The following is a 14,765-nucleotide window of genomic DNA, read 5'->3' as shown; positions in this document are numbered from 1 at the left end:
CACCTCCAGAGTCCCACCCCCTGGCTTAGACACCAGCACCAACGCCTGTAAGTTGTGGGATCTTGGGCAAGCTCCTTTACCTCTCTGAGCCTCTGTTTCTGCATTTGTTAAAAGAGTAATAAGAATAGTACCCTTCTCTTGGAAAAGTGATAAGGATCAACGAAATAATGCATGAAAAGCACTTTGTCAAATGTCTGACACAATGAGAACTTGATGAACAGTGAGTGTTACAGTTAGGGACAGAATCCAGACTAGAACAAAAGACTGGCTTTCAGCCCAAGGTTTGTTCCTTTTTGTCGTATTAATCATCTTTTTCAGTTGTTAGAGCTCTACCATCAAAAATCAGTGTATACTGCTGGGGTGATGGGTGCACCAAAATCTCACAAATCACAACTAATGTACTTCCTCATGTAATCGAATACCAGCTGTTCCCCAAAAACCTATGAAAATTAAAAATTAAACAGCAGCAACAACAACAAAAACTCTAGGCTTTCTTGCTCTAGAAAGAAATATGTTTCTTCCTTCTGTATTTGAAGATGGATGCCAAACTCCCTTGAAGAAGTGAGTTAAGACATGATTGTATCTTTAAGGTGGTTCTTCCAAAATGTCCCAGCAAAGGCAAAGAGTAAAGTGTGGTGCCACGTTGGTATAACGTTCCCTCTCTAATTTCTTACCTATTTTCTTCTTAACTATACAGTTAGCCACAGTTTGTACCTCTGCTCCCTAGGTGCCAGTTAGGGGACATACATTAATTATGCTCTCTGAAAAGGCAACTGGCACCTAGGGTGCAGAAAGGTACTACAACATAAAGTGGGAAGGCCATTCTGCCTCTGAAAAATGACATTGCTATTCCAAAAGTTTACTTTGGGGATCATTCATTTGGAAAATGTGACAACATCTTTATAATAAAGAAAGCAAAACAAAACACTAAGCCTACCACTAACCTTGATTATGTTGTCAGAAAGAACAGCTCCTGAGGTGTGTCAAGCATGAAAAGCAGTTAAGGTGGGACATTTTCAATTTTCAACCCTGGTTCATACAAATTGAGTTTTCCTCATCTGATCTGCATTACTGTGAGTAACAGGGGCTGTGCTGCCACTTCTGACTGACTGATCAGTGTGATGGTGGGAAGGCAGTTCAAAGAACATCAGCGGGCTCAGCTGTGACATTTTCGGGGAAACTCCGTGGTTGCGTTACTATGGAAAACGTCGAGGGAGCCTGCTCACACCACTGTCAATGATCAGATAAAAAGACAGGCATGTCCTGAGAAAACCCCATTCCCAACTCTGTCAATTTGGAAGGAAAAAGACATAACATAAAACTCAAACTGAACCTTTGAGACCCTTGTATCTTGGAATCTCCCTGATCCCCCCTGAATGAGCTTTAAAATTATACCTTTAGGGGTTGAATCAGAACTAAAAGAAACTTTAGAAGCCACGTAATAATCTATGTGTTCTCTTTCACCTTGGACTTCTCTCATTTCTGCTCCGTCTTTTAATTGTTTATCACATTTTGCTGATCTTCCTCTTCCACGTTTCTCAGATCTGTGAAACCTGTTCCTCTCACATCCACCTCTGCTGTCGTAGGCAAAATTCGTCAACATTCACACATCAATTATTCTAATAGTCTCTTAGTTGGTCTTCTTCGCAACCAATTACTTTATGACTCAAACCACCTTGCATTGTTCTGTGGGATTAATCTTCTCTAAGTGGTAATTTTCATTATATCACCTGCCTGTTTGCAAACTCACAATGGTTCCTATGTCATGTCAGTATTCATGTCCTTCCATCTTTGGATGCACATAGCTGCACTTCCATTGCACATGCACCTTGCCATGGCTTGCATTTGCCTCCTTCTTTCTTTCAGGCATTTATAAAATTTCTGACACAAAATTACCTCTCCTCTTCTTTTTACACAAACATGACAGGTTCTTTACTTTTGGAGGCTGCTTCAGTGGGAAAGTAACTTCAGCCACTTCAGTATTCATCACTTTATCTTTTCCCTCAGCTACTTCTGTGGAATTTTTTCTTCTCTAAAAGTTTGTCACATTTTTTTTCATTCTAACCCTTGGTAACTCCATCCCTGCTTCCCCTCTAGGATGCATATGAGATCTCTAGACATTTTCTTTCTTTCCCCAGTGCTTTGTTCCTAAGCACAACCAACCTGCTAAAATAGCATGAACATAAACCTGGGTAGAATACTGGGAAAAGCACACAACAAACAGTCCAAAGAGCTTTTTGTTTTTAGCAATATTTTTAGGTATCTAGAACATCAAAGTTCAGGGTAATACGTAAAAACCATTTTTTTTTTAAATGCATGGCTGAGTTGGCTGGAAAGTAAGAGATACCCTTAGAGGTTAGAATAAAAGAGAACCCTCAAATCCATAAATGGGATATTAGAATTTGTCATCCAGAAGTACCAAATTAGCATTTGTTCTCTACCAATCCTAATGGCCTAGAACTTGGCTTTAGCAGACCAAGAGGAGACCACCTGAATCATAGGTATCGTAGGAGTTCAGATCAGGAACATCTGCCTCAAGCCAGGCCCCTGGAAGCACCCGTGGGTAAAGTAGGAAAAATCCTGCCCACAGAGTGAGGTAGTAGGGATATTTATCTGTCTTATCTCTGGCATAGGAAAAAAAATAATTCTCCTGAAATCTTAAACACAATTTTATTCTGACACATATTTGGGGCTAGAATTCTCTCTGATTATAATACCTCCAAAATATCACACACTAAAAATTTTGTTTAAAACAGGAGTTGGCAAACTATGGCCAACAGGCCAAATCCAGTTTGCCATCTGCTTTTGTACAGTCCATGAGCTAAAATGGTTTTCACATGTTTAAATGGTTGAAATAAAATAAAAAGAAGAAAATATTTTGTGACATATGAAAATGATGTGAAATTCAAATTTCAGTGTCAAAAAAAGTTTCATTGGAACATACCCATGCTCATTTCTTTACATATTGTCTATGGATCCTTTTGCACTATAATGGCAGGGTTGAGAAGTTTTATCAGGTACAGTATGGCTCACAAAACCTAAAATATTCACTTTCTGGTCCTTTATAGAGAAAGTTTTCTGACCCATGGTAACGTGGTTCTGATTAGCAGAAGTAAACACAAAAGCTCTCTGGTAAGCAAACTTTATACACAAATTGAACAAAACTTCACAAAGTTTTAAGGAATCTCATTTAACAATAAATTTAAAATTTTAAATTTTAAAACTTTGAAAATTTAAAAGCAGTGCACTAAACACTCAAAAAATAAGAGAGCATGGGTAACAACAGAAATAACTAAGTTGAGAATCAGATCTAAAAGAACGCTGATGCTCACATTATCAGACATAGGTTATAAAATAAGTATGTTTTATTACATTTACCTAAGTGTTTTTGGGGGTCTCTATCCAGGCATAGTATGTATGTATTTGTTTGTTCACTCATCCATTTATTTTTATTTGCTCTGTGCTTTCTTCATAGAGGGTAACTGATGGTAGGTTTTTCCCCAACAGGCATCATAAATGCCACTCTTTAATAGAGCATAATTTTAAGGCTTAATTTTAAACTTTGTTTAAAATAAACTCTGGGGGCACTTTAGCCCCTAGGTATAGTCTCAAAACACACATTTCATCTGCTCAGAATTCAACTACCCATAATAGAATTGGAAGACTCTGGTCTACTGGGGTACTTAGCACTAAGAAACATTAGAATCAGCAGTGATCCCTAACCAGAACAAGTTTAAACTTGTGCTCAATAAGTACTCATTAAATTTAGAATGTAGCATAAGTAGAAATCTTATACGTGCTTGGCCCTTAAATAGGTCTGCCACCTTCAGACACCAAGCTATGCTAGCCAATGTTGCAGCTCGTACTCTTTGCTAGAACTCCATGTTTCATTCAGGACTCAACTCAAATGCCATCTCTTAAGAGAGACTTTCCTGAGAACTCTTTAAATATATATAGTGCCCTTCACAGTACCTTATTTAATTGTCTTCAAGGAGTTCACATTACCTTTCATTTATTTTCACCACAGAAAACCCAGTAGAAAGAGTTTTATAAATTTTCAGGTTCAATTGCTCTTTAAGAGCAAACTCAATCCTTTCAATATGTACTCTCCAGTTGGGTTTTCAGAAAAACAACAAATATGTGGCCATTCCCAGGACCATGAAGCAGCTGCAACTAAATTTACAAATGGTGATGAACAAGCAACACAGCCTCTCCCACAGCCATGTGGTGAGCTCCTTCTCTCAGTGAGGCCAGCATTCACCAGCATGCATCCCCAGAGATTCTATCCTTATTGGAGTTAAACTGTCCTAACTCTTAGTACTTATTTCTCTGGCTGGCAGAATAGAGATAGGATATAATTGTTATCTGATTATCACACAGGTGAGTTTATTCCAGTAATTATTGCTGTGTAACAATCTATTCAAAAAGGAATGATTTCAAACACAACCAGTTTATCACATGCATGGATTAATAAGTACAATAGCAGCTGGCACAGCAAGGATGGCTTGTCTCTGTTTCCTGATGTCTGGCACATCATCTAAGAAGACGTAAAGATGGTGGTGATGATGGCTGGTAGTAGAGCCTTCTGGAGGCTCCTTCACGCATGTCTGGCCTGCCTAGTCTGGGTCTGTCCATGTGATCTTCCTTACACTATGGGGGCCTCACTTCTCACATGGTGGTACAAGCCTCCAAATTTAAGTGTTTCAGTGAACAAGGCAGAGATTCCTCACTTTTTTAAGCCCACCTCAGTAGTCTCACAGCATCATCACCACCACATTCTAATGGTCAAAGGGTCAAAAGTCCTTCTACACTCATGGGAGCGTTCATAGATCTTACCTCAGCTCTCAACGGGAGTAGTGTCAAAGAGTTTGTAGCCAATTTTTAAAACTTCTACATTCTCTTTTCCTCTAAAATTCACTCCTCTTCCAATGTAGCCTAGCGTATCTAGTGTTCAGGTTAAAAAATGAAACCAAACCTCTATAATTTACTACCTAAGTAAGTTTGAGTATCTCATCCTGTGTTACTTCATCTACAAAATAAAGGGCCTAAACTTGGTGATTTCTCTTCCTTAATTCCAGCCTTTATATCCTATGATTCTACTATTATAGAATGTTGAATAATGTTACCCCAAAATCGATTTCAACTCAGAACCTAAGAATGTGAACTTATTTGGAAATAGGATCTTTGCAGATGTAGTTAGTTAAGAAGCCCAAGATTAGATCAACCTACATTCAGAATAGGCCCTAAATATAGTCACCAAAGTGAAAAAGCCCACTCCTCACCTGCTTCACAGCAATGAGTTACTTTATGAGCACAGCAACTAGAAATTAAAATAAAAGAAGAGAGACACTGGGGGAATATGCTCATAATCCAAACCTTAGTGCACCCACATAACTTTTTAAATGCTTTGTTGTGGTGGTGGTGGTTGTCGTTATTTACCTTGAGTATTAGCAAAAAGTGAGGCTAATGAAGTCCTGGTGTGTGGAAGAACCACAGATGTGCTCTAAATCAGGCTCTAAAGGATGGATGAAGGGAGGCTGTTTACTACAAACACCTACCCCTTGAGAGGAGAAACTCAGCATGACAACTGCTACATCAAAGTGCAATTATTTGTATTCTCAAGACATAGAAAACAGAAAAGGTAGACTAAGCAGGAAGATGAAGCCAAATAAATTTAAACACTTTTTAAAAATTGCCTTAGAAGATGGAGAAAGAAAAAATAAAAAGAAATAAGTGTAATCAGCTCATAAATAATCTACAAGTAAGTCCTAAAACTGCAAATGATTCAGTAGTTCACATTTTGACTTCTTAAGACTTTGCAAACTGCCAAAGACTGTCTGCTTCTTCTTGAAGAATGCTTTTGTTTCTTTCTCTTAACTCAGGCAGCTTTCTCCTGGTCCCCATGACTGCTGAGTCCAGAAATGTGAAGCATTCTCACAGGAGAGCTCCCCCTCCTGTCTTTCGTCTTTCACATCTCGTTTAAATTTCTAATTCCTCAAAGCTTAAAGAAAGAGAAATGCCTCAAGACAAGCTGAACTGGGAAAGTCAAAGTGAATCGTGATAAGGGGTTCAATTACAGCCCGTGCATTCTCCTTATCTGGGTGACAAACACACTCATATAATTTGAGTTCCCACTCTTGTTTTACTTTGAAAGTGATTAGAAAGCCTTAATATATTTTGAAAGAACGCAACTTCTCTACTGTATTCTACATAAATTGCATACTAAGCTAGCCTGAAAGGAGAAATTTTATTTCAAAGGAAGATTAGAAAGTGCCTTTTTTAAAGCTATCAAAGCTGATACCAAGATGCAAAAGGTACAACTAACCAGATACTTAGGATATAGAGCCTTGCACCATTAAAAGGGTACTTTTTTGTGCAAATCATTTTTTGGTAGATAGTGAGGAAAAGGAATGTATGTAATAGGGACATTAACTTTCACTTTACAAGGCAGAAGATCACAAGGGGAACAGCAAACGAGCTGAGCTGATTATCTTGGGGTTTCAATTGAAGAAGAGCAAAATGAGCTAGCTAGCACAGCAGACAGGTCAATGTCTACTGAGGCAATGCTCAGAGCACTTTGGAAGCTGCAGAAATTAAGCCTTTTTGTTCTTGTATTGTGGCCTGGTTGACTTTGCACCAGGTCGAAGCAATGATCTGTATAATTGCAAACCCTCCCCTATTACCAGAGCTTGTCACTTCAGAAAGTGATGACTGGGCTCCAAGCCAGATTTTGGTTTCACCTTAGTTTCCAAGATACTCCATATTGATTAAAGGAAATATATTATGGTCTATAAAGGAGAGAGGAAGCAGACTGTGAGAGGGAGAGAGAGGGAGGGAGTGAAGGCAGGAGACAGAGAGTAGGGGAGAGGAAGAGATAGGGAGAAAAACAGAATGAAAACTGGGAGGAAGATTGAGCAAGAAGGTGAAATCACCTTAAAGACTAGCACACCTGTATTTGTTTGTTTGAGGAAAAGCAGTAAGGGGAGGTGGTAAGAAGGAAAAGCAGGTTTTCTTCTAACCAAAGTTTCACTTCCCTATGTTTTCCACCAAAACTTCTGCTCGGCAACCCCCAAATTGGAAGGAGTCTCTCACTCAGTACAAGGAAATCTCCTTGAGAAACCATGGAATACTGGTTCTGGTGTGGACCCTGGTGGATATCCAGGGGATTAGAGGAAAAAGTTTGCAGGGGAGTCCAGTCGCCTGCCTGAAATAGGCTCTTCAGATATCCGTGAATGAAAGAAAAAGGTTCCTGCATGGAGCAGAGCTGGGCATATGGAAGTGTTTAACAAATTCTGTTGAATACACTGAGTTTAGACAAAATGTATGCCCTGTGCAGCAAGAATACATAATTTAAATTTGAAAGTATTAAAATAAGGCATAATCTTGAAATTAACTTTTATTCAATAGTTTGGGACTTTTTTTAATCCCCAGAAATTAATCTTAAAGCTGAATCCCTTCATTTATTTTTCTCTTGTGTCCACATAGAACAACCTCTCCTGGATTATCATGGCTCTTTAAAGGTTTAATGACTTTAGGTGGTTCTTGAAGGTTACAAATTAAAGAATGAAGTTGTGATTCAGAAAAAAATATACAAAATACAAAAAAATCAGCAAGAAGAAAAATAGCAAGAAAAGAACACTGCTCTCTTGGTATGCTCTGCTATGCTTGTTCTTGAGAATAATGATCACCATTATTCTTGAGATTTGTATTCAAAGAATAATTGTCATCTTAAATCATGCATCATTTATTATTTAAGTTGCAAAGTGCATGGAAAACATTGTAGCGTGGGAAGGTGCAATTTAACCTTGGTGAAGGAAGGGGATATAAAATTACAATTTGGTGGGATGTGATCACAACTTCACTGTCATTCTGTGGAACTAATTTCTTCTGATAAGTATTTATAAGCTATAAAAGTCTCTGAAAAATAGAAAAAATAGCCCATCATTCCTAGAAGCTCAGATCTTCTTATAGGTTGCTGCCATCTTTTTCCTTTGAGAACTATTGATCCATCTTCCTCTTAATGTGTTTTTGTCCCAGGATTATAGTAAGTCTGCAATGGATGACAGTAAAAATCAGGTGATCAATACTGGATAGTTGGTAGTAATGGAGAATTTTCTCACAGACACAGGAATGGGGAAGAAATAATAATGCAATTGCCTTTCTCACTGGCAGGTGAACAACTCTGACAGTGGCACACCAAACTCCATCACATTCTGCCTTTTTACCCAAGAAGAGAGCAACACTGCACCCTCACAACCTTTCAAAACTTTAGTGGATAAGATGTCCCCTCTGCATTCTCCTTTGAATCTCCTACATGCTTCGCACACCTTTAATACCCTCTTTTTCATTCCCAAAGCACATTCACTTACGTCAGCCCATTTGGTCTTCTATCCATTTTGCTCTCTCTAGGTGAAGAAAGTCACAGAGATAATTAGTGGCTTGCTAAAAATTTTATGTCTAGTAAGGAGGTGGTCTGAACCAGGAATCCAGGTTTCTTCACATTATACCGGTGGTCAAACTAGACCCACCAAGCTGCTCTGAATACAGCATTTTGATCTGGACAATACGTAATATTAATAAACGTTCATCTAGAAAAAACAGATAGGAAATGTAGTTGTGAGTCTGTCTCCTGGCCGTGGGTAATAAACCCAAACAAAGAATGATGAGATTGTGGATTATTACCAGCAGAATATTTCCTGTTTATTCAAAAAGACTTGGTACCCGTGTTTTTAAATTGATAGAGGAAATAACAGAAGTTATGACAAATCACCTAGTCTCACAAATGAAGTTAATTAGTGCATATTTTAGTGGCTGAAATTTCCTTAAAGCTGTGGAAAACATGCTCGTGTTTTCTAAGTTGTGCCTACCGTAATTAAAACCTGATTGTGCAGTTATGCCTGATATATGGGGAAGAAAGCAGTTGTAACATTTTATGTTGCATTCCTATGGTATATTAAAATTAGATAATTAATAGCTTCCTGCAAGAGCCTACTCCTAGCTGGAACTTTGTCTTGCTCATCTAAGCAAACCTCTTCACCATTACTTTTATTTCTCCCTATCCATTCAAAATCACTGCTTCATCTTATTTTGCTTCTGTTGCAAACCAAAATCTGCCTTTTCATCAGTACTTCAGTCAACACACTTATCACAATATTAATTGTGAGTATATCATGTCCCAAGATGTATGTCAGGCAACAAGGGTACAATAGTGCTCAAGGCATCAGCCAGGCATGGTGGCTCATGCCTGTAATCCCAGCACTTTAGGAGGCTGAGGTGGGTGGATCACCTGAGGTCAGGAGTTCGAGACCAGCTTGGCCAATATGGTGAAACCCCATCTCTACTAAAAATACAAAAATTAACCAGGCATTGTGGCAGGCACCTGTAATCCCAGCTACTCGGGAGGCTGAGGCAGGAGAATCGCTTGAACCCTGGAGGCGGAGGTTGCAGTGAGCTGAGATCGTGCCACTGCACTCAGAGGTGCCACTGCACTCAGGGTGACAGAGCGAGACTCTGTCTCAAAAAAAAAAAAAGTGATCAAGGCATCAATAGTAATCATTTTCTAATAAGTATGAAGGAAAACGTACATATTCTTTATAAAGTCACTATTATTATCGAACATTGTATAGTTTTTTGGAGGCTGGTTTTTGTTTTCTTTTATCCATCTGAGAATGGTTATCCTCCAGGGTCAATATAAGAGGATATGGTGACTCTGTCCAACTTCCCCACCCCTCATCCTCCAGATAAAGGGGTCAATGCTTAAAGTATAAACCCTGGCAAGACTAAACCTGTGATAATTCTAATCATAAATACATAATAGAGTATGTGGAATACAAATCTCAAATTATAATAAAGTAGGTATTTACTCTGGTTGGCAACTTTAGCCTTCTTCGCAATGCACCACAGATTACATTTTAAAGTTAGTTTTCACTCTTGTCAATAGATATTTTTTATCAATGATTAATAAATATGCTAGTCTGTTAGGGAAGGTGGGGTTAGGGCAGACTCACAGAAACACCCATGTTTCAAATATCAAGGTCTCTCTGAAATGTTTTATAATATTAACTGATTTGATAGCCTATTTGGTTCGGAAGCTGTCTTCTTCATTCCTCTAATTTTTTAATTTATATTGTATCTGCTTCTAAAATAAATATTGTATGATTTAAATTCATATATCGAAAGTCTTTCTAAATAAAATTAGAGAAGATCCTCTACTAAAAATACAAAAAATAGCCAGGCGTGGTGGCGGGAGCCTGTAGTCCCAGCTACTTGGGAGGCTGAGGCAGGAGAATGGCGTGAACACGGGAGGTGGGAGGCAGGAGGCGGGAGGCGGGAGGCGGAGGCGGGAGGTGGAGCTTGCAGTGAGCCAAGATTGCACCACTGCACTCCAGCCTGGGAGACAGAGTGAGACTCCGTCTCAAAAAAAAAAAAAAAAAAAAAAAAATTAGAGAAGAAAGAATCCACATCCAGATAACCACATCCAGAAGGAGACCATTACTACAATTAAATACTTATTTTAGCTCACAACTTCCAAGTGACCAAGGCAAAAGTTAAACACAGCATTATATAATGATGTTAAAAAGACACCCAATTTTGCCTGGGGAGACATTTTCTTGGTACCAAATTCCTGAACAATAGTTTTCCATTTTCCATTATTAGGAAACAGTGAGCAGTAGAGTAGGCACAATGAAAAATAACAGCTTTTGTAGATGCCACTGAAATTTTTTTCAAATAGTGCTTTTTTATATGAAAATTTAAGAAAAATCCACAGCATGAAGTTAAAGTTTGACACGAAGGCAGGTTTCTGGGAAGTTAAGATAGCAGTCCTTGTCCATACCATACTGATCATGTTATTTTATACAAGAATAAGGTTTAAAGAACCTGGATAAATGAATAAATACCTCTTAGCCTGTCTTTTTTTTTTTTTAATCATCATTTGTCAGCTATACTTTGGATAGATACTTTATAGGGACCACTTTAAGACTGAGCTCTTTCAAACCTGTCTAAGATGCTGATTTTCTATGTTTGGATTGATGATGGTCCTGAGTTTTGATGTGGACATGAAATAGGTTTTTATTAAGCAAAACGTAGGTGAGATTCTCTAATGTTTATTACAGGATGCTAACCTTGACATTACCTGCCCATCTGGTATCACAATCAGAATAAGCTGTCCTGTTCAAGAGAGTGATGTAGCTTACTTGCTACACTGGACCCTATCAAGAAAAAAAATGCACAATTTTAGCTTTAGCTGTGTATGTGTTATGCATTAAGTATTTGTCAATAGTTCATTTGTTTTGGTACACCAGTTAGCTCCAATGTATAGTCAGAGAATTGGAATATTAAAATTGGGAGATACTCTTTTAATACTGAAATGATTAAACATCTCCAGTGACTGACAACTTACTACTAAATGAGATAGCCTCTCAAACTTTTAAAGCACTCTAAATGGAAGAATATTCTATTTAATGTTTTCTAACAATTACTTCTGCCTAACTTCTAGCTAAAAATCCCTCTTTTTGCCCTCTGTCACATACAGAATATGATAATAAATAGAAAACATCAATTTCAAACTGCTACTACACTGAAATTTTAATTATGCCATGGGCCAAAAGTTTGCTTTTGCTTCCAGTGATGTATAGCACCACTGTGTCATTTCAACACAGAAAACTGTTAACACTAGAGTGGGCCCTTCGTATTCATGGGTTCTACATGTCCGGATTCAACCAAACACAAATTGAGACTATCTTAAAAATTTTAAATAATACAAATTTTAATATGCAATATAACAACTATTTATATAGCATTTACATTGTATTTGTTATTAAAAGTAATCTAGAAATGACTTAAAATATAGAGAAGGAAGTGCATAGGTTAGATGCAAATACTATTCCATTTTATATAAAAGACTTGAGGATCTGCAGACAACGGAATCCACTGAGGGTCCTGGAACCAATCCACGTGGACACCAAGGGATGATTGTATTGCTTTTTATGATGTCAATAGTATGATTACAGTGTTTTCCTCTATCGACTTAACCCATCTTCACTTCCCCCTGAGGTGGAAAGTTAGTTCATATATTTTATGGGCTGCCCCCAACACCCACAGTTTCTAAGTGGTTAGATTAGGGAATATCTTAGCAATTTAGTGGGGGGCACTTGGAAGCTGATGAGTAAAATAAATGAATATTTAAAGAAAGGAGAATAGAGAGTACATGCACAGGAGATCTGAGCTGGTAGATCATCAGGCCCCAAAGAATGGAGAAAGCAGCTTTGATTTCTGGTGACTTACCATTTCAATAAGATCTAGTTATTGTCATTCCAATCCTTGTATATCCCATGTGCTCTGTATCTTACAATATCCTCCCACCTTTATTTGATCTTCTGATTTGATTGGGTCTCTGTTTCTTAAAAATTGGACAGCCCTGCCTGAAGAGGAATGAAGTACATATTTCCTAAGTTCACAGATAGAGAATCTAAGCTCAAGAATTATGTTTGAAGTAACTTAAGAACACTGTTGGCCAGGTGCGGTAGCTCACACCTGTAATCCCAGCATTTTGGGAGGCCGGGACGGGGGTGGATCACCTGAGGTCGGGAGTTCGAGACCAGCCTGACCAACATGGAGAAACCCCATCTCTACTAAAAATACAAAATCAGCCGGGCGTGGTGGTGCATGCCTGTAATCCCAGCTACTTGGGAGGCTGAGGCAGGAGAATTGCTTGAACCCTGGAGGCGGAGGTTGGGGTGAGCCCAGATCATGTCATTGCACTCCAGCCTGAGCAAGAAGAGTGAAACTCCATCTAAAAAACAAAAACAAAAACAAACAAACAAACAAACAAAAAACCACAAACAAACAAAAACGCTGTTAGCACATTAGCAACTAAAATCCTCCCAGCTAAGTTCGGTATTATATGTGCTAAATTCAATGACACACGTTTGTTTTGTATACCTTTACATACGAAAAATAATGGCAGCTATCTGATTAAAAAAAATTAACCATGACTCCAGTCAGCTTTTATGGCTCATAGTGTAGGTATATGCATATAAAGAATTAAGTGCACCTACTGCCATAGATAATCATCTGGAATTTGGCTCTGTTTCATGGTACAACGCTGGTCCAACGTGCTAACTTCTCCCAGTTTCATACTCCTGAAAACCAGGGGCTCACACTGACCTGAGAAGGCTCCACTTCAGAGAAGATCACAGATTTCTTTTTGAAATGTATCTGGGAACTCTTCTTCACACACCTTATATCTTTGAATGTGCTGTAATTCTAGGAAGATAGATTGCATCTGGTCGAGGGACAGTGAGGGCAAATGAGGGACAGAGGACGTCATGATAGCTCTAAGGGGAAGATATGGATAACATTTGAGAATGACTAGTTTGAAACATGATTCATAGTATTTTCCAGAAGGGTGTTAATACCTCATAGTGCACAATTTTACACCATGCTGCTGCATTCATTTTCAAGCTTCTTCTCCATTCTATTAGAGACTTTCATGAGTCATCTTGACACATGTTGTATTGTTCTGGATACCAGTTATTTTGAAGATTGTATGGAATAAAATGCTCTCTCATCACTTCATATTCCTGGAGCTATTGGTAATTTCATTTGGTGTGTAATATTTCTTTTTGGAGGGCTTGTAAACTAAAGCCTCAAGGTAATCATGCATGAAATAAAAACAGTAGAGAGCAAAAATTTACCCCACAAAATTTGCATTTTCTTTATGCTAAAGGGAGGTTTTCTATTGAGAATTAAAGTGGGAAGTAAAAAAGGAGAGAGGAAAGACAAGGACCTCACAGTTAAAGTAATTTTTAGTAGGCATGGAGGGGAAAAAGACATAAATTACATTCAGTAAAACCAAAGCAAAAAAGGCAGAGTGAAATGAATCACAGAAATAATGTCTGTTCAGAATCTGGAAATTAAAATAACTGTTCCGAATAGACAAGATATGATTCCCAATTGAACAATGAGCTGAAATTCAGGAAGCTTTCAAAAATAAATAAAAGGTAATTACAGTGAAGAATAAAGATGAGTGTACCTTCTCATTTACATAAGCGGACAGTAGTTCTGCAGCCTCTTGCTTATTAAAATGGATTGTTAACCAGACTGCAAGAAGCAAAATGAAATGGATCATAAAGTTGTTCATTTTAATATTACATTCTCTCAATGAAAATGTATTTTTAAATTAATATATAATATGCAAGATGAAATCTCAACAACATTTGAATGATCATAGAGCTGGGAGAGATTTTGAATTGGCCAACAATTTATTGTTGGGTTCAATGTAAGTTTGTCTCTCAGTGACCCATCATTATAATTCAAGGGCTTGTTAGGAGGCCCCTCTATATCCCTCCCTCATAGACAATGCCTGACTTTGTGTTAAGTGGTCCCATCTTTGCCAGGTAACTGTAGCTCTGCCTTCATTTCTGCAGAGTAACTGAAATAGCCAGGAGGTTATTAATCTAAACATATGGGACATAAGCCCTGTTCTCAATGAGTTTTCATACCTGTGAGTCAGTTATTTGTTGGTGCTTAACAAACTATTCTGAAATTTAGTGACTTAAAACAAAAATTTGTTGGCTCATAATTCTCCAGTTTTGGCTGGACTGATCAGTTCTTCAGCCCATCTTACCTAAGATCACTCATGGCAGCATGACTAGGTGGATGGTCCAAGATGGCTTACATAACTAGATCTGCCAACTGGGGCACATTGGTTCTCTTCCACATGACTTTTCCACATTTCTTACATTGAGGCAGCTGCCTTTGAA

At 38.1% G+C, this 14,765-nt stretch overlaps 1 long non-coding RNA gene across 1 annotated transcript; it reads right to left on the bottom strand.

Annotated features, from left to right (window-relative positions):
• Positions 1–7,728: 7,728 nt before the first annotated feature.
• LOC105374038 (uncharacterized) lies at positions 7,729–14,224 on the bottom strand. The gene is made up of 6 exons (XR_924331.3): positions 14,036–14,224; positions 13,168–13,641; positions 12,286–12,422; positions 11,135–11,210; positions 8,370–8,588; positions 7,729–8,050 (listed from the first exon to the last, which is right to left on the bottom strand). It is a non-coding gene; the product is annotated as an uncharacterized LOC105374038 (long non-coding RNA).
• Between the last annotated feature and the right edge of the window lie 541 nt (positions 14,225–14,765).

This window comes from Homo sapiens, chromosome 3 (assembly GCF_000001405.40).
Source record: "Homo sapiens chromosome 3, GRCh38.p14 Primary Assembly".
NCBI classification, from domain to species: domain Eukaryota; kingdom Metazoa; phylum Chordata; class Mammalia; order Primates; family Hominidae; genus Homo; species Homo sapiens.
The sequence above is the reverse complement of the archived record's forward strand: the minus strand, read 5'-3'. Positions and strand labels throughout refer to the sequence as shown.